The 26,594-nt window shown below is 44.2% G+C and overlaps 2 protein-coding genes and 1 long non-coding RNA gene across 42 annotated transcripts in view, besides 4 other annotated features; 2 read left to right on the top strand and 1 right to left on the bottom strand.

The window, feature by feature from the left end:
* The window catches only part of ZBTB8OS (zinc finger and BTB domain containing 8 opposite strand), a 30,113-nt gene extending 24,310 nt beyond the window's left edge, over positions 1–5,803 (top strand). For 36 of the 38 annotated variants that reach the window (NR_158773.1, NR_158776.1, NR_158780.1 and 33 more), the window contains one exon: positions 4,675–5,803. Coding sequence is in view for 27 of the 38 variants with exons in the window: in NM_001366257.1 (NP_001353186.1) it covers positions 4,675–4,761 (87 nt within the window). In the remaining 11 variants the exon portion in view is untranslated. The remainder of the gene's footprint in view (positions 1–4,674) is intronic. The other 2 variants (NM_001366265.1, NM_001366271.1) reach the window with 1 other exon arrangement.
* Positions 2,845–2,914: an enhancer, noted in NCBI's record as "active region_694". NCBI's record gives its function as "activates an Ori minimal core promoter by ATAC-STARR-seq in GM12878 lymphoblastoid cells {active_cell/tissue: GM12878}" and the evidence as "EXISTENCE:reporter gene assay evidence [ECO:0000049][PMID:35858748]".
* Positions 14,116–14,617: an enhancer, noted in NCBI's record as "H3K27ac hESC enhancer chr1:33077607-33078108 (GRCh37/hg19 assembly coordinates)". NCBI's record gives its function as "activates a minimal SCP1, AML or CMV promoter by ChIP-STARR-seq in naive H9 embryonic stem cells {active_cell/tissue: H9 hESC(naive)}" and the evidence as "EXISTENCE:reporter gene assay evidence [ECO:0000049][PMID:30033119]".
* Positions 14,133–18,074, top strand: LOC102723870 (uncharacterized). Its single transcript, XR_426677.5, has 3 exons — positions 14,133–14,580; positions 16,475–16,526; positions 17,296–18,074. It is a non-coding gene; the product is annotated as an uncharacterized LOC102723870 (long non-coding RNA).
* Positions 14,238–14,347: a silencer, noted in NCBI's record as "silent region_602". NCBI's record gives its function as "represses an Ori minimal core promoter by ATAC-STARR-seq in GM12878 lymphoblastoid cells {active_cell/tissue: GM12878}" and the evidence as "EXISTENCE:reporter gene assay evidence [ECO:0000049][PMID:35858748]".
* Positions 19,543–20,043: an enhancer, noted in NCBI's record as "H3K27ac hESC enhancer chr1:33072181-33072681 (GRCh37/hg19 assembly coordinates)". NCBI's record gives its function as "activates a minimal SCP1, AML or CMV promoter by ChIP-STARR-seq in naive H9 embryonic stem cells {active_cell/tissue: H9 hESC(naive)}" and the evidence as "EXISTENCE:reporter gene assay evidence [ECO:0000049][PMID:30033119]".
* ZBTB8A (zinc finger and BTB domain containing 8A) overlaps positions 20,682–26,594 on the bottom strand; it is a 66,515-nt gene continuing 60,602 nt past the window's right edge. For 2 of the 3 annotated variants that reach the window (NR_111980.2, NM_001291496.2), the window contains one exon: positions 20,682–26,355. Coding sequence is in view for 2 of the 3 variants with exons in the window: in NM_001291496.2 (NP_001278425.1) it covers positions 26,326–26,355 (30 nt within the window). In the remaining variant the exon portion in view is untranslated. Of the gene's footprint in view, positions 26,537–26,594 lie in introns of all 3 variants that reach the window. The other variant, NM_001040441.3, reaches the window with a different exon arrangement.

Genomic DNA, 26,594 nt, shown 5'->3' with positions numbered 1-26,594 from the left:
GAGCCGAGATCATGCCACTGCACTCCAGCCTGGGTGACAGAGCGAGACTGGTCTCAAAAAAATAAAATAAAAGTAAATAAATAAAGATGTAAAAATCACTCTTACTTTATGGGACTGTACAAAAAGAGGCAATTTGGCCTGTGGGCTATATATATTTTGCTGACCCCTGTGTTTAGGCCAGATACAGACAGGTCACTTAACTACTGGGATACATTCTGAGAAATGCATCTTTAGGCGATTACATCATTGTGCAAACATCATGGAGTGTACTTACACAAACCTAGATGCTATAACCTATGCTATATGGTATAGCCTATTGCTCCTAGGCTATGAACCTGTACAGCATGTTACTATACTGAATACTATAGGCAGTTGTTACACATTGGTAAATATTTGTGTATTTATATTTCTAAATACCAAAAAAAGGTATAGTAAAAATACAGTATTATAGGCCCGGCGTGGTGGTTCACGCCTGTAATCCCCGCATTTTGGGAGGCCGAGGTGGGTGAATCACCTGAAGTCAGGAGTTCTAGACCAGCCCGGCCAACGTGGTGAAACCCCATCTCTACTAAAAATACAAAAATTAGCTGGGTGCGGTGGCGGGCGCTTGTAATCCCAGCTATTCGGGAGGCTGAGGCAGGAGAATCGCTTGAACCTGGGAGGCAGAGGTTGCAGTGAGCGGAGATCACGCCATTGCACACTCCAGCCTGGGCGACAAGAGCAAAACTCCATCTAAAAAAAAAAAAAAGAAACAGCATTATAATCTTCTCAGACCACCATCATATATGCAGTTAGTCATTGACCAAAATGTTATGCGGCACATAACTGTATTCTAAATTCATATTTGTCATTGGAAGTGTTCAGAATGGATTGTGAGCAAATTAATTTCATTTATTCCTAAGAGTTTTTGTTTATGTGAGACAGTGCCTTGCTGTGTTGCCCAGGCTGATCCGAAACTCCTAGTCTCAAGCAATCCCCCCACTTCAGTCTCCTGAGTAGCTGAGCTTACAGGTGCACACCACCAATTCCAGCTTGGTACTCCTAACAGTTTTTGTTTTGTTTTGTTTTGTTTTGTTTTGTTTTGTTTTTGAGACGGAGTCTCATGCTATTGCCCAGGCTGGAGTGCAGTGGCACGATCTCAGCTCACTGCAACCTCCGCCTCCCAGGTTCAAGCGATTCTCCTGCCTCAGCCTCACAAGTAGCTGTGATTACAGGCACATGACGCCATACCTGGCTAATTTTTTGTATTTTTAGTAGAGATGGGGTTTCACCATGTTGGCCAGGCTGATCTCGAACTCCTGAGCTCAGGTGATTTACCTACCTCAGCCTCCCAAAAGAGGCGTGAGCCATCGCGCCCAGCCAACAGTTTTTTTTATTATTATTATTCTTTCTTTTTTTTTTTGAGACAGTCTCACCCTGTCACCCAGGCTGGAGTGCAGTGACGTGACCTCTACTCACTGCAACCTCCCCCTCCCAGGTTCAAGCGATTCTCGTGTCTCAGCCTCCCGAGTAGCTGGGATTACAGGCCCATGCAACCATGCCAGGCTAATTTTTGTATTTTAGTAGAGACTGGGTTTCACCATGTTGGCCAGGCTGGTTTCGAACTCCCGACCTCAGGTGATCCACCCACCTTGGCCTCCCAAAGTGCTGGGATTATAAGCGTGAGCCACTGCACCCAGCTACTTCTTATTTTTTGAATGAATGATCAAATAACTCTTTTTTTTTTTTTGAGATGGAGTCTTACTCTGTTGCCCAGGCTGGAGTGCAGTGGTGTAATCTCAGCTCACTGCAACCTCCACCTCCCAGGTTCAAGCGATTCTCCTGTCTCTGCCTCCTGAGTAGCTGGGATTACAGGTGTATGCCACCACAGCCGGCTAATTTTTGTATTTTTAGTAGAGGTGGGGTTTCACCATGTTGGTCAGGCTGGTCTCAAACTCCTGACTTCAGGTGATCCACCTGCCTCGGCCTCCCAAAGTGCTGAGATTACAGGCATGAGCCACTGGGCCCAGCCAATCAACTTTTCAAAGCAAAAAGGAATGTTTTACAAATAGCTTATTAAAACATCTGGTTCCTGGAATATTTCTTGGTTTAAAAATACCTTCCTGGTTTTAATACTGTCTTTACCTTCTCTCCATGAATCCATATGCCATCCATCCATGAATTTATGCATGCATTCAGCAAATACTTATCAAGTGCCTCCAGTGTTTCAGACTTTTTTTTATGCACTCGAGGTAGAAATGTAATAGGATAAGCGAAGTCTCTGCCCTTACTGAGTTTAAAATGTAGTGGGAGAAGTGAGCCAGACAAACATGTAAACACATAATATAATTTCAGATAGTGAACAGTGCCATCAGGATAAGGTAAGAGTGGTTGGAGGAGGGGAGGGGGTAGTCAGAAAATATATGTTTATTAACCCATTCTCACGCTGCTGATAAAGACATACCCGAGACTGGGTAATTTATAAAGGAAAGGGGCTTAATTGATTCATAGTTCAGCATGGCTGGGGAGACCTCAGGAAACTTACAATCATGGTGGAGGGGGAAGCAAACCCTTCCTTCTTCACATTGTGGCAGGAAGAGAAGTGAGTGCTGAGCGAAGGGGGAAGCCCCTTAGAAAACCATCAGATCTCCTGAAAACTCACGCACTATCACTAGAACAGCATGGTGGAAACCGCCCCCGTGATTCAATGATCTCCACCTGCTCCCTCCCTCCCACAACACGTGGAGATTATGAGCACTACAGTTCAAGATGAGATTTGGGTGGGGACACAGCCAAAATATATCAGTATGTTTGAGAAAGTGATATTTGAGCAGAGGCAAGAGAGATGAGGAGTGAGCAGAAATAAGGAAGAACTTTCTAGGTGAAGAAACAGGTGTAAAGGCCCTGAAATGAGGTAAGTTCAGGGAACAGCAAGCTGGAGCTGAGAGTGAAGGTGTAATAGTAGGAGACAAGGTTGTAGAGATAGGGCCACAGCCTCTTTGGTAAAATTTGGTAAGGGGAGTATAGGATCAAGTACTCACGTATGGGAGTTGGCCTTCTGATGGGAGCCAGGGACAAGCCATTCATTGCAATCAGGCTAAGGTGAGTACAGATACAGCATGATGGTAGATTTGGTGGTAGGAAAATGAGTCAGTTCTTACTGAGTTGCTCTTACTTTCTCTAGGAAGCACAGTTGATTGAGAGTGAGAATGAGGGAGGAATGATCACTAGAGGAGAAGAGAAAGAATTGTCTCAGAGAGTGAAAAAGGGAATTTATTGGTAATTGTAAGATTTTACTGCGAGTACTGAATTCCTGTTTGAGATGTGTGGACATACACTCAGGGTGATACCAGTTAGCATGGTGTGTGCTGCCATAAGCAGACAGTTGAACTTGAATTAGGTTGTGGTTTTGCCAGGTGATTGTGGCAGAGGAGAAAAAGCAGTGGCAGTGCCACTTATATCCTTCTGTGAAATCTTCCTTTTTTTGTGTGGTGTAGAGCTAGCAAATGCCATTTACCTATTGCCTGGTACATTTTATGGTGCACAGAATTATTGTAGATTCCTTTTGGAGCTGGAAAGAACCTAAGAGAACATCTAATTCTGTGGTTTTAAACTGGGGCAGGGTTGGGCAATGTCATGTATCAGAGACGTGTGGAGAGCTTTTGACCTGGGAAACTATATCTTATTCTTCAGCTAGACTTGGAAAGAGAAGAGTCCCAAGAGGTGAAGTGAGTGTTGTCAACTGAGGAAAAGAGAATAAGTTGAATTCCTAGGGCCTAGGTCAGAGTATAAGGAGGTGGTTTTGATTTCAGAAAGAGCCCTGAGCCAAATAGTAGAAAAGCTTGTGTTCTTTGATTCAACCCATTTTCTTTTTTTTTTTTTAATCATCCTCAAAAGTTTTTTACTTTTTTTTCTTTCCAACTTTTATTTTTAGGTTCATGGGGTACATATACGAGTTTGTTACATGGGTAAATTGCATGTTGTGGGGGTTTAGTGTACAGATAATTTTGTCACCTAGGTAATCAGCATAATACCTGATAGGCAGTTTTTCAATCCTCACCCTCCCCCAACTCTCAAATAGACCCGGTGTCTTGTTTCCCTCTTTGTGTTCATGTGTACTCAATGTTTATGTCCCAAATAAATATATGGAAACATGGTATTTGATTTTCTGCTCCTGCATGAATTCACTTAGGATAATGGCCTCCAGCTCCATCCACGTTGTTGCAAAGAACATGATCTCATTCTTTTTTATGGCTGTGTAGTATTCTATGGTGTATGTGTGTCACATTTTCTTTATCCAGTCTACCATTGATGGGCATGTGGATTGATTCTATGTCTTTGCTATTGTGAATAGTGCTGCAGTGAACATACCCATGGATGTGTCTTTATGTGATTTAACCCATTTTATAAATGAAAAACTGATGTCCAGACAGGCCAGACAATTTCTATACACCCAGGTGGAAACAAAGCCAGGATTAGAGTTCCATGTCCCAACTCCATTGTGCATGTGTTGCCTCTCATTTTTCTTGGATCCCTGTATATTCTCCTAATTTGATAACTAATTGTTTCATGTGAGTTTTTCATTTTCAAAATACTAAAATTTTTACTTTCTGCTGATTGTTGCTAGAGTTAATGATTATGATTTCAATATCCTATTTTCCTTTTTTTTTTTTTTTTCTCTAACCCCAACTTTAGGGAACAGAAGTCAAAGCAATAACATATTCAGCAATGCAGGTCTATAATGAAGAGAACCCGGAAGTTTTTGTGATCATTGACATTTAAGACACCAAAAAATAAAAGACTCCTACGAAGAACTGTTTTTGTTTTCCTCTTCCTTTTGAGAAGACACTATGAATTAAATTCTACAGCTTTTTTTTGATATATGGAAATTTGTAGAACAGAAATATTTTAGTTAAAGTGTGACTTTCAGAAAGGGAAAATCAGGGCACAGCCTTGGTCTGTGTTCCCCAAATATTCACACTTTAAAGAATTCTTCAACCCCCCAAGGGACAGTTATGGTCCTTTGATTCTCTGCTGTGGCAGTAGGTGTGCCTCATGCCCTTCCAGTGCAATGCAAGCCCTCCAGCCTCACCCCAGAGAGGATCACTGATGTCAGCAGCAGCCTGAGGCTGAATCCAGGTTGAAAGAAGAATAACTTGAAAAAATATATTTCCACACACAGAATTTTGTTTTTCTTCCAAGTTGGTTAAGACATATATTTTGTTTCTTTTTTTTTTTTTTTTTTGAGACGGAGTCTCGCTCTGTAGCCCAGGCTGAAGCGCAGTGGTGTGAGCTCGGCTTACTGCAAGCTCCACCTCCCGGGTTCACGCCATTCTCCTACCTCAGCCTCCCGAGTAGCTGGGACTATAGGCACCCGCCACCATGCCCGGCTAATTTTTGTATCTTTAGTAGAGACGGGGTTTCACTGTGTTAGCTAGGATGGTCTTGATCTCCTGACCTTGTGATCCGCCCACCTTGGCCTCCCAAGGTACTGCGATTACAGGCATGAGCTACCATGCCCGGCCACAAGACATAGATTTTCTATATGCACATCAAGGGAGGTGCTGGTTTAGGTTGCTATAGGACAGAGCTATCCTGTATTCCAGTTGGTTTTTGTAGAGAAACAATTAGACTTCTCTAGATAGAGCCCTGATTTTTCTCTCACGCTTTCAGTTTTTTAAAAGCACTAATGATATTTCCTGTTTTCTCATAAGAAAAAGTCAATACTATGCCTTACAAAGAGACCTTTCCTTCTAATATAGAATTTTATTTGAAAGTGAGTACATGTTTATAACTAGAGAATAAAAGGAGAATTTTTGAAAAATTTCTTTATTGTTGTTTTTGTTTAACTACTTAAGCTATTCGTCCTTTTTTTTGAGACAGGGTCTTGCTCTGTCCCCCAGGCTGGAATGCAGTGGTGCAATCATAGCTTACTGTGGCCTCGAACTCCTGGGCTCGAGCAGTCCTTCCAACTCAGCTTCCCAAATTGCTGGAACTACAGGAATGCACCACCATACCTGGCTAATTTTTAAATTTTTTTGTAGAGACAGGGTCTCACTATGTTGTCTTGAACTGGTCTTGAACTCCTGGGCTCAAGTGATCCACCTTGGCCCCCCAAAGTACTGGGATTACAGGTGTGAACCACTGCACCAGGCCTAGCTATTTGTCTTTAAGGAGACAGGAGGCCAGGAAAACAACCTTAAAATGATCTGAACTCTTAAAGTAGATGACTTTTTAAAAATGAAATTTAGTTTGATTTGCACCTTTTTTCTTGTTTCTATTGATTGAGGTATTCTCTTTTGGGATCAAGAGTTTGCAAAGTTGCTATTTATTCCCAAGAACATAAGAAAAAATTGCCACTGGGTGGTGCTAAATATCATCATAGTATGGCGAACTTGAACTAAAAGGAACGGATTAGCAATTATTTTTCTATGGGTATTTAACAGAAAACAGGGTTAATGAAAGCTGGGCACAGTGGCTCACACCTGTAATCCCAACACTTTGGGAGGCTGAGGCAGGCGGATCACCTGAGGTCAGGAGTTCAAGCCCAGCCTGGTCAACATAGTGAAACCCCATCTCTACTAAAAATACAAAATATTAGCCTGGCTTGGTGGCAGGCACCCATAATCCCAGCTACTCGAAAGCCTGAGGCAATGAGAATCGCTTGAACCCAGGAGGTGGAGGTTGCAAGTGAGCTGAGATTGTGCCCCTGAACTGCAGCCTAGGTGACAGAGTGAGACTCTGACTCAAAACAGAAAAAGAAAATAGGGTTAATGAAGAATAGGCCAAGAGCCTGTGGTTTGAAAAGCAGCTCTTCAAATGAATATATATTAGGAACACTGGGTAGTGCTTTTTAACCTCCTTTGTACTCAGGCACATTTTACAAATTTAAATTGTTACTCTCCAAGCCAAACACATCCCTCAGAATCCTTTTACCTTTTATTAGGGTTGATTGCCAGGCTGTGATGGGGCTCTTTTTTTTCACAGAACCTTTGCATATCGTGGGCTAATTGGGGCTTAATTGTGAAAATGAACAATGGAAGACCATGAAGGCAATGAAGGCCAAATCCAGAGCAAGAAGAGGGTGAGAGTTGGAATACAATAAAACCAAATAGAGCTGGGCACAGTGGCTCATGCCTGTAATCCTAGCACTTTGGGAGGCCAAGGTGGGTGGATCACTTGAGCCCATGAGTTTGGGACCAGCCTGGGCAACATGGTGAAACCCTGTTTCTACAAAAACTATAAAAATTAGCCAGGTGTGGTGGCATGCACCGGTAGTCCCAGCTACTTGGGAGGCTGAGGCAGGAGAATCTCTTGAACCCCGGAGGCAGAGGTTGCAGTGAGCCGAGATCACACCACTGCACTCCAGCCTGGGCGACAGGAGTAAAACCTTGTCTCAAACAAAACAAAAACTAAGTGAGGCACAGACTTGCCTAGGACAAAAAGCATGCGAGGCAACCATATTGTTACCGGTGAAAGGTTTTGACTATGAGTTGACAGGTTCTTGGCGTTTTGAACAAATAATTGGACAAAATGCACAAAGCAAAAAAATGAAGCAATGAAAGCACACATTTATTGAAACAAAAAGTACACTCCACAGAGTGTAAGCAGGCTCAAGCAAGGGGCTCAAGAGTGCTGGTTACAGGATTTTCTGGGGTTTAAATACCCTCTAGAGGTTTCCCATTGGTTACTTGCTTATACTGTATGTAAATTAAGGAGTGGCCCACGACCAGTCTGATTGGTTGTAGGAGGTGACCAATCAGAGGCTGAAGTAAAGTTCTGAATGAAGACTGTGGAGCCAAAGGGAGTACAGTCTGATCCTCTTGATTCAGTTCTAGGAAGTCAGCACAAATCTGCCTTAGGTTCCCCGCCTCCAGACCCTATTCTGCCTCAATATTGCTTACTACCAGCACTACATAATGGAGTTAAGTAAAAACAAGTGAGATGTAATTATGCAATACAAATTATAATTTATGATAAACTTATAATCTATTATATTTTAATGTAAATTTCAAATCTTAATATGTGTTTTTGGCTGGGCACAGTCGCTCATGCCTCTAATCCTAGCACTTTGGGAGGCTGAGGCGGGCAGATCATCTGAGGTTGGGAGTTCCAGACCAGCCTGACCAACATGGAGAAACCCCGTCTCTACTAAGAAATACAGAATTAGCCAGACGTGGTGACACATGCCTGTAGTCCCAGCTGCTTGGGAGGCTGAGGCAGGGGAATCGCTTGAACTTGGGAGGCAGAGGTTGCAGTGAGCAGAGATCACGCTATTGCACTCCAGCCTGGGCAACAAGAGCAAAACTCCGTCTCAAAAAAAAAAAAAAAAAGAAAGAAAAATGTGTGTTAGTTTTTAAGTATGCCAAAATGTAATGAATAGAAGGAAGTTGAGTGTGTCACCCTTTATATAGAAAATTGGCATCTTAAGTCCATCAGCAGCAATGCACAGTTTATTTTTGGTTTATTTATTGAAATGGCTGCACTGGCTGTCACCAGATTCTTCTGCTAATTTCAAATAGGTGTTTTGGCCTAGGGAGCAGATTCTCCCCCAACTGCAGAGCTAATTGATTTAAATGGGGACTGAACCTTATCCTCACATGAAAACTCTGTTCTAGTTATAAACGTCTCAACATTATCTCTCACCTCATGACATACCCACTCATCTTCACTTCTCTGTCCAGTTCTCCTTTCTGGGCTGCCTTTATCCTTCCTCCTAAAGTAAGGGAAGAAAACCCACTGCCTAAGGAGCCAGGTGGGTAATGGGATTGGCTATGTGTTGAGCCCAGGGCTTATAGTGTCTGAGAGGTCAGCTGCCTCAGCGATAGCCCTTGTCAGTAGTGGGAATACAAGCTGAGTTTTGTAGTTTTTCATGACACCTCAAAAATTGGGATTTTTATGTGAAAGCTCCCAATTTTTTGGAAAAAAAAAACCAAAACACTATGGTCATCACAATGAGGGGCAAAAATCTTGCAAGTTCTGCTTTAAAGTCCACATCAGGCCGGGCGTGGTGGCTCACGTTCGTAATCCCAAAACTTTGGGAGGCCGAGGCAGGTGGATCATGAGGTCAGGAGTTCAAGACCAGCCTGGCCAAGATGGTGAAACCCGTCTCTACTAAAAATACAAAAATTGGCTCGGCATGGTGTCGGGCGCCTGTAATTCCAGCTACTCGGGAAGCTGAGGCAGAGAATTGCTTGAACCCGGGAGGCAGAGGTTGTAGTGAGCCAAGATTGTGCCACTGCACTCCAGCCTGGGTGACAGAGTGAGGCTCTGTCTCAAAAAATAAATAAATAAATAAAGTCCACATCAAAGCCTGTCACCAAGAAACCTTGCCAACCATTTCAGCCATTAGTGGTCTTCTCTGAATTGCACCTGTCTAGTTAGTTTTAAAGATTTGCCAGCTTAGTCAATTTTATAATTGTCGAACGTTTGCTAGTTTTGTCTCTCTGAATAGAAAGCAAGCCCCCAGATCACATAATGGTCATTGGCTACTTAATGATGAATGGATTAAGCGTTTTAGGGCTACTTAAATCTCTTAGGCAGAGACTGCAGGTCAACTTCTTGAACAAATCTCAAGAGTTTACGAATCTCAAGTCAGGCTTGGGAGGCCAACACAGGTGGATCACTTGAGCCTGGGAGTTTGAGACCAGCCTGGGCAACATGCTGAAACTCCACCTCTACTAAAAATACAGAAAAATAACCGGGGATGGTAGCACAGGCCTGTAGTCCCAACTTGGGCAGCTGAGGTGGGAGAATCACCTGAGGCCAGGAAGTCTAGGCTGCAGTGAGCCATGATGATGCCACTGCACCCCAGCCCGGGTGAGAGTGAGATCTTGCCTCCAAAAAAAAAAAAAAAAAAAAAAAGGAATCTTAAGTCACAAGCCTTGATTCCTAATCCTTGCTCTACTGATGACCTTGGTCCTTATCTATGTATTATGGGTAACAATAGTGGTATGATTTTTTTTTTTTTTTTGAGATGGAGTCTCGCTCTGTCGCCCAGTGTGGAGTGCAGTGGCATGATCTCGGCTCACTGCAAGCTCCGCCTCCTGGGTTCATGCCATTCTCCTGCCTCAGCCTCCCGAGTAGCTTGGACTACAGGCGCCTGCCACCACGCCCAGCTAATTTTGTGTGTGTGTGTTTTTAGCAGAGACAGGGTTTCACCATGTTGGCCAGAATGGTCTCTATCTCCTGACCTCGTGATCCGCCCGCCTTGGCCTCCCAAAGTGGTGGGATTACAGGCGTAAATCACCGCGCCCAGCCAATGATCTTTTTAAACATTTTTATTTTTATTTTAGAGATGGGATCTTACTATGTTGCCCAGGCTGGTCTTGAACTCCTGGGATCAAGAGATCCTCTTGCCATGGCCTTCCAAAGTGCTAGGATAACAGGTGTGAGCCACCACACCCAGCTGATCTCTTATCACTGGTACCTCCCATCTAAGATGGCTAAGTGGTTGTATTCACAGCCTCTTTTGCCAGTTCTTTCCAGTTTGGAAGAGAATGTTCAAGGAGAACCATTCATACCCTTCTCAAGACAGGAGCAGTGCCATCATGAACTACTGGGGCTACTCCCTCACCCAATCTGACCTGCAGAAGGCTTGGGGATTACCAGATTCTGCCCAGTAAGAAGCCCTGAATGATTTCAACAATACTAGCTTTGCCGCAGAGAAACTATGAGACTGAGAATTTAGTTTCCTCACTTCAGAAACGAGGACATTGGAAAAGATATCCTCCAAAAGCTCTTCCAGAGCAAACTGTCAGAATTTAGTGACTGTATTACTGTATCAGTATGATTTCCTAATGTGCTATGTACATTTTTTTTGTTTAATTACCTATAAGTGGCCTGGCGCGATAGCTCATGCCTGTAATCACAGCACTTTGGGAGGCTGAGGTAGGTGGATCACCTAAGGTCAGGAGTTCGAGACAAGCCTGGCCAACGTGGTGAAACCCCATCTCTACTAAAAATACAAAAATTAGCTGGGCATGGTGGCGGGCGCCTGTCATCCCAGCTACTCTGGAGGCTGAGGCAGGAGAATTGTTTGAACCTGGGAGGTGGAGGTTGCAGTGAGCCAAAATCACACCATTGCACTCCAGCCTGGGCGACAAGAGCGAAACTCCTTTTCAAAAAAAAAAAATTTACATATAAGTAATTGCTTAATGTTAAATTCTGGACATGCAAGAGTGTGCTTTTAGAATGAACCAACATTATGGCCAGGTGCAGTGGCTCATGCCTGTAATCCCAGCACTTTGGGAGGCCGAGGCAGGTGGATCACCTGAGGTTGGGAGTTTGAGACCTGCCTGACCAACGTGGAGAAACCCCGTCTCTACTAAAAGTACAAAATTAGCTGGGCGTGGTGGCACATGCCTGTAATCCCAGCTACTAGGGAGGCCGAGGCAGGAGAATCGCTTGAACCTGGGAGGTGGAGGTTGCGGTGAGCTGAGATCTCACCACTGCACTCCAGCCTGGGCAACAAGAGCGAAACTCCATCTCAAAAAAAGAATGAACCAACATTTATTTTGTCATAAATGCATATCCAGGTCTCCACTGTACAAAACATTTTTCTAGGTGCTTCCATCTGGAAAATGTTACCCATTTGTCATACCGGCAATTTTACATGTAGTACATTTATTCTACTTTTTATTAATGAGGAAATTAGTGACAACTAAGACTATCTGGCTATAAGAGGCAGACTTGGGACTTCAGACTCTAGTCAATGTATTTACACAAGATTCTTTTTTTTTTGAGACAGAGTCTCACTCTGTCGCCAGGCTGGAGTGCAATGGCGTGATCTTGGCTCACTGCAACCTCCGCCTCCTGGGTTTAAGTGATTCCCCTGCCTCAGCCTCCCAAGTAGGTGGGACTACAGGCACCAACCACCATGCCTGGCTAATTTTTTGTATTTTTAGTAGAGATGGGGTTTCACCATGTTGGCCAGGATGGTCTCAATCTCCTGACCTCGTGATCCACTTGCCTTGGCCTCCCAAACGTGCATGGTGGTGCGCGCCTGTAATCCCAGCTACTCGGGAGGCTGAGGCAGGAGAATCGCTGGAACCCAGGAGGCAGAGGTTGCAGTGAGCCAAGATTGCACCACTGCCCTCCAGCCTGGGCAACAGAGCGAGACTCCGTCTAAAAAATAAAATGAAATTAATATAATATAATATAATATAATATAATATAATATAATATAATATAATATAATATAACATAATATAATAATAAACTACCTCCCAGTATAAACACTAAAGACATTATAGTCATGGGCTCTGAGGACTAGGCTCTGATTTTTTTTCTTGCCCAAATTCCTATCTAAGGGGTCTGGGGAATCATGCCCTACAAACCATAAATTTTCATCAGATGAGTTTTATTTAACCCTATATATCATGACTTACTTTCCAATCTGACTCTGGCATAACATTTTTTTTTTTTTTTGAGACAGTCTCAGTCTGTCACCCAGGCTGGAGTACAGTGGTGCGATCTCGGCTCACTGCAGCCTCCACCTCCTGGGTTTAAGTGATTCTCCTACCTCACCTCCCAAGTAGCTGGGACTATGGGCATGTGCCATCGCACCCGGCTAATTTTTGTATTTTTAGTAGAGACAGGGTTTCACCATGTTGGCCAGGCTGGTCTGGAACTCCTGGCCTCAGGTGATCCGCCCACCTCGGCCTCCCAAAGTGCTGGAATTACAGGTGTAAGCCACCGTGCCCAGCCTTCTTTTCAGAAAGAAAGTCTGGCTCTGTTGCTCGGAGTACAGTGGCATGATCATAGCTCACTGCAGCCTTAAACTCCTGGGCTCAGGTGATCATCCTGCCTCAGCCTCCTGAGTGGCTGGGACTACAGGCATGTGTCACTATGCCTGACTGCTGTTTTTTTGGGAGACAGTATAACTACCCAGTGGGTTCACCTTACCTGCTGCCTAGACAGAGGCGATTTATGAAGACAGGGGAATTGCAATAGGGAAAGAGTAATTCACGCAGAGCTGGCTCTGCGGGAGACCAGAGTTATATTATGACTCAATTAAGTTTGCCCAGTATTTGGGGATCAGAGTTTTTAAGGACAACTTGGTGGGTGGGGGGAAACCAGTGAGCCGGGAGTGCTAATTGGTCAGGTCACAGATGAAATCATAGGGAGTGGAAGCTGTCTTCTTGCGCTAAGTCAGTTCTTAGGTGTGGGGGGGGGGGGGTCACAAGATCAGATGAGCCAGTTTATCGATCTGGGTGGTCCCAGCTGATCCATCAAGTGCAGGGTCTGCAAAATATCTCAAACACTGATCTGAAGAGCAGTTTAGGGAGGGTCAAGATTTTGTAACCTCCAGCTGCATGAATCCTAAACCATAATTTCTAATCTTGTGGCTAATTTCTTAGTCCTACAAAGGCAGCCTAGTCCCCAGGCAAGGAGGTTTGTTTTGGGAAAGGGCTGTTATCATCTTTGTTTTAAACTATAAACTATAAGTTTCTCCCGAAGTTAGTTCAGCCTCCACCCAGGAATGAACAAGGATAGCTTGGAGGTTAGAAGCAAGATGGAGTCAGGTTAGATCTCTTTCCACTGTCTCAGTCATAATTTTGCAAAGGCAGTATTTTGCCCAGGCTGGTCTCAAACTCCTGGCCTCAAGCAATCCTTCCACTTCCTCCTCCCAAAGTGCTGGTATTACAGGCGTCAGTCACTGTGTCCAGCCCCCTCTTTAATTCTAAAGAAGGTCCACAGTGCTTGGTGAAGGGGTGTCATCATTCTAGAGACAACCCTGGGAGCCCGTGCCATCTGCACAAGTGACATGGTAGCTAGAATCTTAGTTTATTAAGCTGGGCAGGCTGAGTCACTCGTTTCTGCTTTTCCCTCTCCTTTCTCTTCTCCAGACTTATTTCCCGTCTCCTACTTATCTACTGTGGCTTTTTCCTGTGCTAATCTAGCTTTCTTTCTCCCATATCTTCGTTGAGCATCTATATTCAAAAGCCTGCACTTCAGGCCAGGCGCGGTGGCTCACGCTTGTAATCCCAGCACTTTGGGAGGCGAGGTGGGTGGATCACATGAGGCCAGGAGTTCAAGACCAGTCTGGCCAACATGGTGAAACCTCGTCTCTAATAAAAATACAAAAAAATTAGCCGGGCATGTGGCGCACGCCCATAATCTCAGATACTAGGGAGGCTGAGGCGGAAGAATCGCTTCAACCCGGGAGGCAGAGGTCACAGTGAGCTGAGATCGAGCCACTGCACCCCAGCCTGGGCGACAGGACGCCAGTGAGATGCCTCTGGCCAAATCCCACGGGAGTGGTTCCCTGGCATCACGCGTCCAGGCTCCGCCCCGGCCCTTCTCGCGGCTCCCATTGGCTCGGCCGCGGACTCCTGGGGCGCCGACACCTCCTACTGGCCGCCGCGGCGAGGTCAGGGAGCAGGGCACTGGCCAGTCCCAGCTGAGTTGGGAGGTGTCGGGGACGCAAGTGACTTCACAGAGCACAATGTCATAACCTTAAGTAACACCAGACAACTTTTCCTAAAGTGGGGATAAGATAGGCTTGCTCTGTAGGCTGCAGGTCTTAAGCACCTGCGGCGGCATCTGATCGCGCGGATTCGAGTCCCCTCCGCCCCTGAGTCGTGGCGTGGCTTCCAGGTTAGTCATTCCAGTGCACAACCCCCCAAGTCCAACTGTTTTAAATGAGGACGGTGCTGGATCTAGTCGGTGCCTGGCAAATGTGGGCTTTTTATTTTTATTTTTTAATTTATTTTTATATTTTTTTTCTGAGATGGAGTTTTGCTCTTTTTGCCCAGGCTGGAGTGCAATGGCATGATCTCGGCTCACTGCAACCTCCGCCTCCCGGGTTCAAGTGATTCTTCTGCCTCAGCCTCCCGAGTAGCTGGGATTACAGGCGCCCACCACCACGCTCTGCTAATTTTGTATTTTTAGTAGAGACGGGGTTTCACGATGTTGGCCAGACTGACCTGATCTCAGGTGATCCGCCGGCCTCGACCTCCCAAAGTGCTGGGATTACAGGCGTAAGCCACTGCGCCGGGCCAAATGTGGGCTTTTTATAAGGCGTCCACTACACACGACAGAAAAATGCCTATTTCCCCCTATCGCCCCCAGAGTCTAGCTAATCTAGCTTTAGGAGTGTCTGGTAAATCCCAGGCCTCTCCGACGGGGGCGGTGGGGGAAGGGGGGTCTAGCTGTTAGACTGAATAACTTTCCAGGAAAAGTAGTTGTGACGAAAAACAGGACTGAAAAGGAAGAGTTTCTACCCCTTAATCTCGCTCACTGGCATAGTCATCCCTGAAAATAATATATAAAGTCATGGTTTATAGAGGGTTCACTTGCTTGAACGTGATATCCATTGTTTAGGGAGAAAAAACCCAGGCTTTTTTATCTATTTGTTACTTTTTTAATAGACAGTGTCTCACAATGTGGCCCAGGCTGGAGTGCAGTGGCGCAATCATAGCTCACTGCAGTTTTGAATTCCTGGGCTCAAGGGATCCTCCCGCCCCAGCTTCGCTTCCCAAATAGCTGGGACTACAGGCCTGTGCCACCATGCCCGCCTAATTTTAATTTTTTGGGTTTTTTTGGTGGAGGTAGAATGTCACTGATGCCCAGGCTGGCCTCGAACTCCTGGCCTCAAGTGATTCTCCCACCTCAGCCTCCCAAAGCGCTGATATTACAGGAGTGAACCAATGTGGCCATATCTCAAGGCCTTCATTTTTTAACACGTGGTGCTAATACTTTCAGCTGGGGTTTTCAACTCCTGGGTTTTTTGTGGACTTTTTCCTCAGTATACAGAAAAAGTTTAAAATCAATTCAGATAGGCAACAAAAGGCACAGTATCTTTTCTTTTGTTTTTTGAGAAGTTTCACTCTTGTTGCCCAGGCTGGAGTGCAGTGGCACAATCTCAGCTCACTGCAACGTTGCCTCCTGGGTTCAAGCGGTTCTCCTGCCTCAGCCTCCTGAGTAGCTGGGATCACAGGTGTGCACCAACACGCCCGGCTAATTTTTGTATTTTTGGTAGAGACGGGGTTTCACCATGTTGGCCAGGCTGGTCTTGAACTCCTGACCTCAAGTGATCCACCTGCCTCGGCTTCCCAAAGTGCTGGAATTACAGGTGTGAGCCACAGTGCCTGGACTCAGCATGTAACCTTTTAAAATTATGCAAGAAAATAAAAAGAAAAAAAATTATGGGCCAGTCATGGTGGCTCATGCCTGTAATCCTAGCACTTTGGGAGGCCGGGGCTGGCGGATCATCTGAGGTCAGGAGTTTGAGACCAACCGGGCCAATATGGCGAAACCCCATCTCTACTAAAAATACAAAAATTAGCTGGGTATGGTGGCCCATGCCTATAATCCCAGCTGCTTTGAGGCTGAGGCAGGAGAATCGCTTGAACCCGGGAGGCGGAGGTGTGAGCCAAGATCACACCACTGCACTCCAGCCTGGGCGACAGAGCAAGACTCCGTCTCAAAAAAAAAAAAAAATTATGCAAGAAAGTACCATTTTGTCATTGGAAGAAATTCTTTTTTGCAGGAGACTGAAGAGATATACTTGTCATGAATGGATTGCAAACATAACCTTCAAGGTGGGAATGAAAATGGTACTCTATCTAAAAGTTGTGTTTTATTTTTAAAGCTTTTTTTAAAAATGGTAATTCTTGAAGAAATAAAGCAAAAGAGAAGTTTGCTTTGTTTCCAAATTCGTCTGAAGTCTTCTTTAAATAATACAGTAGTATTTTCCTGCCTCTCTAGTATTCCATTTAACTGGAACTAAAGAATGACTTAATTCAATTATTTTATGGAATTCTAAAGTGTAGCAATTGAGCTTTTACAGAGCTTGGAGTGTTCTGGTTCCTTTCTTTAAAAAGAAAATATTAAAGCTTGTAAAATTTCAGTATGTAGTATTTCAGTCACGTATTCATTACATAGTTCTTTTATTGGTTTGAAATACTGTGTGAATTCCCAGAATGCAATACCCATAATCAAATAAAATGCAAATGCATCCCAAAATAAAAATGGGGTATTTTAAGACTACTCATTATTTTATTAGAGTGTCGATATTACTTGTCTCTATTAAAAACCTTAGATAATGGAACATGCAGTGTGTCTTGAAATTTTACAAAAATAAATATTTTCCTGGACTGGACACCTCTATTTTTAAATTTTTCCTTAATGATACGGTTGAGAACCAGTGGACTGTAAGGTCAAATAGTCCTACTGCCTCTCCTTGGCATCTATATGGGGAGGACAGAGGGAAACCTTGAATGGGCCCTATTTTGCATGTCACAAACTTTGGGAAGCTTTTATTTATTTATTTATTTATTTATTTATTTATTTATTTATTTTTATTTTTAGAGCCAAGATCTTGCTGTATCGTCCAGGCTGAAGTGCAGTGGCACCATCATAGCTCACTGCATCCTTCACTCAGTGATCCTAAGGCTCAAGTGATCCTCCCACCCGAGCCTCCTGAGTAACTGAGACTACAGGCATGTGCCACCACGCCCACCTAATTTTTAAATTTTTTGTAGAGACTGCGACTTGTTATGTTGCCCAGGCTGGTCTCAAACTCCTAGGCTCAAGCAATCCTCCTACCTCTGTCTCCCAAAGTGTTGGGATTACAGGCATGAGCCACTGTATCCAGCCTAGGTTTTTTTTTTTCAGACGGAGTCTCGTTCTGTCGCCAGGCTGGAGTGCAGTGGCGCAATCTCAGCTCACTGCAAACTCCGCCTCCCGGGTTCAAGCGATTCTCCTGCCTCAGCCTCCTGAGTAGCTGGGACTACAGGCATGCGCCACCACACCCAGCTAATTTTTGTATTTTTAGTAGAGATGGGGTTTCACCATGTTGGCCGGGATGGTCTCGATCTCTTGACCTCCTGATCCACCCGCCTTGGCCTCCCAAAGTGCTGGAATTACAGGTGTGAGCCACCGTGCCCAGCCAGCCTAGCTTGCAAAAATACTTACACCCAAGCCCCACCTGCCCGAGATTCTGATTTGCCTAGGCATCTGTATTTTAAAAGATCCACAGGTGATTCTAATGTGCAACCAAAGTTGAGGATCTCTGGTCTAGGCAGAAATGTTGTTCCCTTTTTCCCTTATGGGCTGAATAAAAATAAGTTTCTCTTTAATAAAGAAAATAAGTAGTTGTAAGTAATATCAACAAGGAAATAAATGATTTTCCCAAGGGGAAAATCAAGAAACTATATAATGGAATTGTGTATCTGGAAATCTGAAAGAGCAAAGCAGGCAAAGTATAAAATTCTGCTTGCAAATGATCTAGCTAAGCGCAAAGGTAAAGGTAAAGGGTATTTCCCTGGTCTCTGGTTTCCTTTTTTCTTTTTGAGACAGTCTTGCTCTGTCACCCAGGCTGGAGTGCAGTGGCGTGATCTCAGCTCACTGCAACCTCCACCTCCTAGGTTCAAGCAATTATTGTGCCTCGGCCTCCTGAGTAGCTGGGATTACAGGCATGCGGCACCACGCCAGGCTAATTTTTGTATTTTTTATAGAGATGGGGTTTTACCATGTTGGCCAGGCTGGTCTTGAACTCCTAGCCTCAAATGATCCGACCACCTCGGCCTCCCAAAATTCTGGGATTACAGGTGTGAGCCACTGTACCCAGCCTCTGGTTTCCTATTTAAAGGTGAGAAAGTATGCAACGGATTTTGATGGTTTGAAGAAAAAAAAAAAAAAAGAAAGAGTAGGGAAAAGTGTTATACTATTTCAGTAATTGCAAAATATTTTGACTTCAAGATATTTTGACTTCAAGAGTCCCTTTGCTTCTATTGCTGTGTGGTTCATTACTTGTTAACATTATATTTAAATATTTTACTTTTTTGGTGGCATTAATACAGTTCTGTGGGGAGAAGGCTGACGTGAAAATGAAGTTTACAGATTCTCGGTGGATTTCATTTTTCTGGCCTATTCATAGGTCCATTAGCAGGAATAGTTAAGAAACTCCTGTATCAAAATTATATGTTACTTATACTTCACAATATATAAAACAGCTGGCTATATACTACCATTTCTGTGATAACTTGAATTTTATCATTAAAACTCTTGTAACTAAAGGCACCAGTGGCCCGTCTGTAACAGCCGCTGCTGCGATGCCAGCTGCAGTGAGGGAAACGCAGCTGAGGCTCACGGCTCCACGAAGCCCACAGGGGCTGGCTACAGGCAGGAGCCCTGCCCCTACTGAATCGGCAGGGCTGGAGTCCCACACTTCTGGGCACAGCTGCAGCCGCCCAGCTGCGGCTCCAGACCTGGGCATCCCTGCACTCTTCAGGGCTTGGGAAGCTCCCAGCGCCCACAGGCTCAGAAGTGCCTGCTCCCATTCCCTGGCCTCTTTCTGCTCCTGCACCTGCTCTGTTGCAGAGCAAAGTTGGGCCAAACCTAGGTGTTGTCGTGACCTGGCCAGGTTGAGCATGCTAGAGGTGGCACTGACACGCCAGCCCCCTGCCACCTCAGCCCCCTCTAAACTTTGGGCACCCATGTGCGTGGGAGGGAAGCCAGTCAGGGGGTTGATGACGGTGGCTTGGTTTGGGCCTGCAGGCGCCCCTTGGCACAGTCTGGGCACCATGGAGGGCATGTTGATGGCAGGAGGCAGACAGGTTCCTGGGTGGAAAAGGGTGGGTTCCCAGTGAAATCCCCCCTTCAAGCCAGGGAATGCCTGAAGCCTGGGGGTTGGTCTGGCAGTTCCTGGTGGAGTCCAGGGCTAGAGTAAGAACTTGTGGTGTTTTCTGGGCTGCCCATGGACACCCACAGACCAAGCAGCATGCACTTCCTCCCTTCTGAGCCCATAAAAACCCCTGGTCTCAGCAGACTCAGCCGGCTGTCAGGACTACCAGCTGCAGGAAGGAGCTACCCGCTTTGAGTCTCCTTAAAAGGACCTGCCTGCAGGTCTCCTCTTGGGTGAGAGCTGGTCATCTGGACACTCATCAGGTCGACCTGCCTGTGGAAAGGAGCTATCCACTTCGGGTCTCCTGAGAGCTGTTCTGTTGCAGAGTGAAGCTCCTCTCTGCCCTGTGGAAAGGAGCTACCCACTTCAGGTCTCCTGAGAGCTGTTCTGTTGCTCAGTGAAGCTCCTTTCGGCCTTGCTCACCCTCCAGTTGTCTGCGTACCTCATTCTTCTCGGATGCAGGAAAAGAACTCGGGACCCACCAAATGGTGGACTGAAAGAGCTGTAACACAAGCAGGGCTGAAACATGCTCCCTGCTCACCACGTTGTGGGCGACGAGAAGGAGAGAAGAGCTGCAGCCCTTCTGGCAGCCCAGACCTCGGGGCTCCCTGAGCCATGGTGTGACATGCTGTAACACCCTCTTTGGGGGTCTGCAGTTCCCGGCATCTCTGAGCTTTCGGGCACCACTGCGTTCCACTTGTCCAAATGCTGATGCCCGCAGCGGAAGCCGCTTTCAGTACGTCTGGTCCCGCTGCAGCCTGGCATGGAGCTGGTGCCTGTGCCAGCGCCTAGAGCTGTCCACCCCACTGCAGCCAGTGTGCCTGGTTGTGTGCAGTGGCCGGACCCCACGCTAGCTCACTCACACACCCGTCACTCCGTGCCTGGCTCACCCTCGGCAGGCATGAGATCCAGGCTGGTACCACCAGTGGACCACAGCCTGCCAGTCCACATGGGTGGAATGAGCCCAGCAGGCACAAGCAAAACCCAAGCAGAGGAGCCACCGGCCAAGAGGTTTCTGGCTGGTGGCAAAGCAACACCCTAAGGATCCTGTGACATAACTAAAGTCACATCCTTTACATAACATTTATTCCATATAGAATGTATCCACATACAATGACGTCAGCTTTAAAACAATCCACTGTTACTTATATAAAATCATCTATAAAATAGAGTGATACACAACACACCTCAGTGAATTAGGCTGATGGTCTAGGATTCAGAAAATGTGATCATTATATTTCCTATTTTTTGCTACCATTTCACTGGGTTGTCTTAGGTTCTTTTTTTTTTTTTTTTTTTTTTTTTTGAGGTGGAGTCTCGCTCTGTCACCCAGCCTGGAGTGCAGTAGCGTGATCTTGGCTCACTGCAACCTCCGCCTCCTGAGTTCAAGCAATTCTCCTGTCTCAGCCCCCAGAGTAGCTGGGATTACAGGTGCCCACCACCATGCCTGGCTAATTTTTGTATTTTTAGTAGAGAAGGGGTTTCACTATATTGCCCCAGGCTGGTCTCCAACTCTTGACCTAAAGTGATCCACCCGCCTTGGCCTCCCAAAGTGCTGGGATTACAGGTGTGAGCCACCACGCCTGACCCTGAGGTTTTTTTACTGTTCTGTGCCTCAATTTATTTACCGTTCATGTGGGATAACTGTCCTATTTCATATATATGTAAAGAATAACAAAAATTATTAAACACTTTGCAAATATAAAATGCTATATAAATGATAAATAGTAATACTGATACACTTATATAAAATAACAAAACTTTCTGGTTTATAATCTAAAGTTTGGTCCTCCTGTACCTATTATTCTATTATTATCACCCTTCCCAGTTAAACACATCTTTTTTTTTTTTTTTTTTTTTTTTGATGGAGTCTCGCTCTGTCACCCAGGCTGGAGTGCAGTGGTGCGATCTCGGCCACTGCAACCTCCACCTCCCGGGTTCAAGCGATTCTCCTGCCTCAGCCTCCCGAGTACCTGGGATTACAGGCACCCACCATCATGCCCAGCTATTTTTTGTATTTTTACTAGAGACGGGGTTTCACCATGTTGGCCAGGATGGTCTCGAACACCTGGCCTTAAGTGATCCGCCCGCCTCGGCCTCCCAAAGTGCTAGGATTACAGGCATGAGCCACCGTGCCCGGCCAGTTAAACACACCTTATCCTACACTGCTTTTAGTGATTTTCCATACTTATTAATTTTAGGACTAAAAAAAATTTTAAAAACCAATATGAGTGGAAATTTCAATATATCTTGGCATGACTTGGCAAAATAACTTTAATGAATTGAGTTCTGAGCTCATAAATAATTGAAGCACCAAACTTCTTTCATCCATTAGGCAGTACTTAGCCGTACAGAAAACAGTAACTATGCTTATTTTGATTGCATTACTGAAAATATAATATTGAAACATTTGTTCCTAAATTTTAAAAAGTCTTAAGATCTGATACCCATAGAAGGAACATCATGTGCTAAGGATGTGATTTGCTTCACTAAGAGACCATATGGTTACCTGCTTATAAGCACCGTGAGTAACAGGAGTAACGAAATGAGGCTGCAAGGCTCAAAGGGAATTCAGGAAGTTGTCTAATTCCATGGTTTTCAACATTGTGCACCTGAGTTCTGCAGAGGTGTCTGGGGAAAGGTTTGTGGGGGACTTTAACCACAGCAGCTCTGATTTTAGAGTTTATCCCTTAAATTTGAGCATCTTTAGGAAACAATTCATTTGAAGAGTTTCTCGGGTTAAATTATTTTAAACTGCAGGTCTAGTCCATTTTGTTTCTCCCAGACACTAGGCATGACTGCAGTGGTGCTTTCTTTTTGTAATGCTTCATCCTATACCCAGACACTCTTGAGGGTAATGGAGTTAGAAGGGCATTCAGAAGCTGATAAATGGCATTCCTGCAAGAGCAAACTTTGGTCTAACCAAGTCTTGATATTAAAAAAAAAATCCTTGGCATAAATAAAGCTTATTTAAACAGATTATACCCCTATGTAACATTTGCCCACATGTAAAAACCAAAGAATTCAATTTTCTCAATCATCAATAGACAGTTTCACTCTAGAAAATAACTGGTCTCTAACGTCTTAGATATATATGCTATAACTGGAGTCATTATTTACAACTTACAAACATGTCTTAAATGTTCTTCTATGATGTTAAAATGATACAACAGATTCTTTGTCTAGTTTGGTGAACTTGATCATTTTGTGGGGATAGTTTGATGCTCGTTATAAACAATTATGAGAAAGCATTATTTCTGAAAAGGCAATTACAAGTGCTGGTGGCACTGTGTTCAGTGAATGTTGGATATTCATGCTGATGTATGTAAAGTTTGCATGCAGAAGATAATAGCATAAAAGGACATTTAGATCATAGACTAAAGTGCATTAGAGTACACACATGCAAGCACTACTTCATTTATAGGAAAAAAGTTCAAATCAGCCATTTTTCCTACTGGCTCCAACAACTAAAAAATCAGGTTTTAATTTCAAAAGGTGTCAGTATTAATTGGGTAAGACTAGAGAATGACAAGCGTTTCCTTCCTCATTCAGATACACTTTAATTGTTAAGAATCCTGATTTAGGCCGGGCGTGCTGGCTCACGCCTGTAATCCCAGCACTTTGGGAGGCTGAGGCGGGCAGATCACGAGGTCAGGAGTTCGAGACCAGCCTGGCCAACATAGCGAAACCCTGTCTCTACTAAAAATACAAAAATTAGCCAGGCATGGTGGCACATGCCTGTAGTCCCGGCTACTCAGGAGGCTGAGGCAGGAGAATCGCTTGAACCCGGGAGGCAGAGGTTGTGGTGAGCGAGATCACGCCACTGCACTCCAGCTTGGACAACAGAGCGAGAGTCCATCTCAAAAAAACCAGAATCCTGATTTAGGAACAGCCATGTTGGGAGAACAGAGAACTCAATGCACATCATCCAGTCTTGAAGCAACTGCAAATGTGCCATCAGGGGAATCTTGAAAAAGTCTCAATTAAGTACCATGAAACAAGTGGTTATTCATCTATTTTTAAATTTTTTAAAAGAAAGTAACCAATTTAGCCTAGAAATTGGTATCAAGGACAATAATTAATGAAAGAACAAGAGAAAATAGTAACATAAAAAGGATAATTTTGAGGTATGTCATGGCATTTAAAAATACAGTAAAATTGGCTGGGCGCAGTGGCTCACGCCTGTAATCCCAGCACTTTGGGAGGCCGAGGGGGGCGGATCACGAGATCAGGAGATTGAGACCATCCTGGCTAACACGGTGAAACCCCATCTCTATTAAAAATACAAAAAATTAGCTGGGAGTGGTGGTGGGCGCCTGTAAGTCCCAGCTACTCGGGAGGCTGAGGCAGGAGAATGGCGAGAACCCGGGAGGTGGAGCTTGCAGTGAGCTGAGATTGCACCACTGCACTCCAGCCTGGGCGACAGAGCGAGACTCCGTCTCGAAAAAAAAACAAAAACAAAAAAGAAAACAGTAAAATAGATGGAGCCTCTCCATATACAGTGAAATTCTATCAAGCTTCACTGTGATAACTTGCAGAAGAGACCTTTATGAAGCTCAGTTCTTTACTTCGGATATTTAGATTTTACCTTTAGAACTGAAACAATGCTTCTCTAATTTAGCTGTAATTTTGGAATGTTTCATAATTTATGCAGGGGAGAAGTTTTTTTTTTTTTTTTTTTTGAGACGGAGTTTCGCTCTTGTTGCCCAGGCTGGAGTGCAATGGCGCAACCTCAGCCCACCGCAGCCTCTGCCTCCTGGGTTCAAGCTATCCTCCTGCCTCAGCCTTCTGAGTAGCTGGGATTACAGGCATGCACCACCACGCCCGGCTAATTTTGTATTTTTAGTAGAGACGGGGTTTCTCCATGTTGGTCAGGCTGGTCTCAAACTCCCGACCTCGGTGATCCACCTGCCTCAGCCTCCCAAAGTGCTGGGATTACAGGCGTGAGCCACTGGGCCCAGCCCAAAGGGGAGAAGTTTAAACTTTGTATACTAGGAGAAAAGTTTGTTTTGAAAATATTATATAAACAAGAGAAGCAAAAATGTTCAACATATTTAAGTGAATAATTTGTTCAAATAGTTTTATACTTTAAATTTACATATAAATAACGTGACATAAAAACATACCAATAGGTACTGTAGGGACATTACTTAGCATTATTTGAAAATCTCTAGATCAAGATATTGTATGTTGTTGAAAATGATTCAATTCCTCCTTTCATACTTTCTAATTCTGATTGGCTTATTTTTATAATGACTGCCAACTGGTGAGGTTTGACTTCTATTCTTTGCCATTTCAGGAGACATACAGGGAGAGAAGGCTGAAAGAGGATTGTTTAAAATCAGATCCTGTCCAATCATCAGTTTTCTCTCTCAGACTTTCTGACCTTAATTTCCTCATTTGTAAATCGGAGATAGTATCCACCTCACTGAGAAAATACATGAGAGAGTACTTTATAAATAATATAGCACTACATAAACGTTAGAAATCACTCACATATGGTAAGAACCTCCTAGTTTGTTTTCCTTTTTTTTTTGAGACGGAGTTTCGCTCTTGTTGCCCAGGCTGGAGTGCAATGGTGTGATCTCGGCTCACTGCAACTTCTGCCTTCCAGGTTCAATCGATTCTCCTGCCTCAGCCTCCCGAGTAGCTGGGATTATAGGCACCCGCCACCATGCCCGGCTAATTTTGTATTTTTTAGTAGAGACGAGGTTTCACCATGTTGGCCAGGCTGGTTTCAAACTCCTGACCTTGTGATCCGCCTGCCTCGGCCTCCCAAAGTATTGGGATTATAGGCATGAGCCACAGCGCCCAGCCTGCTTTTCTTTAGAGAGATGGACAACCATATTGACAGATTGTCTTCACAAACTACCTTGACTTTTAGGCAACATTAGTTTCCTGCTTTAAGAAAATATCTGTATATAATCTTTGGCCAGCCTCTACTTTTTTTTTTTTTTAACAATACTGAGAGTAATTTTTAAGCTAATGATAAAAATTTCAAATATGAATGATTTCAAACACTTTAGTCTTCTTCCATAATCCTTAAACGTTCAGGATATCAGAGTAATGACAGGTTGTTTCAGATCTCAAATTAATAGAAAGACTAATTTGTTTAGTAAGGTGGGTTGCCAGATCCTTAAATGTGCTCTTAACTGGTTCCCTGTGAAATTAAACATTGGTAGTTATGTGTTTTTGAAACACCTTGAAATTGTCTTACATAAAGTTTGGTTGTGGTGAATTTATTTAAAGTATTTTCTTTGAAAAAAGTTTGCTAAGTAGATCCTCCAATATTAAAAGAAAAAGGTATCTCTGGAATAAAGTAAGAGGATTGTAATGAAAGTAAGAGGATAATTGTTCATCCATCAAGCCAACTCAAGCTAGTTCTTTCTTTCCAGTGCAGCAACACATTTTAGGGCAACAAAGTTCAGAATGGATACAATGGCCTGTTCAGAAAGCATGCAAGTTATATCAGATCATTTCTTTAAAGTCAGTGTGATAAATTTGTTAACTAGACTCCGACCATAGAAAGAGAGAGATACAGGAAGTCAATGTAAATTGCAGACATGCCAGCTCTGTTGGTTCACATTACAGCTACCTAATGTTGGGCTTAATTTCTTTTTCTTCTTCTTCTTCACTATCATCAACCTGTTGGATGACCAGATCAGCAGACCCATCTTCTACAATCTCCACATAGGATCTATTCTCATCTTCACTCAAGTGCCATCTGGAATCCTTATCTCCATCTGATGGGGACATAAGATGTTGTTCAGCTTCCAAGTCAATGGGGAGGCTGTCTATGCCAAATTCTGCAAGACACTCATTACACAGTCTGTAGCGCCTGGTTCCCTCCTGTACCACTTGCCCTGTTAGATCTGTCACATGACGTTTACATTTTCTGCAGATGAGTTTACATGCCTGGTGAATCTGTGTAGAGATTTAAATAGTGATAAAAGTGATTTTTCAAAAGCAGGACAGTTTGATA

This window comes from Homo sapiens, chromosome 1 (genome assembly GCF_000001405.40).
Source record: "Homo sapiens chromosome 1, GRCh38.p14 Primary Assembly".
NCBI lineage: Eukaryota > Metazoa > Chordata > Mammalia > Primates > Hominidae > Homo > Homo sapiens.
Note: the sequence above shows the minus strand (reverse complement) of the source record. Positions and strands in the feature narration are given on the sequence as shown.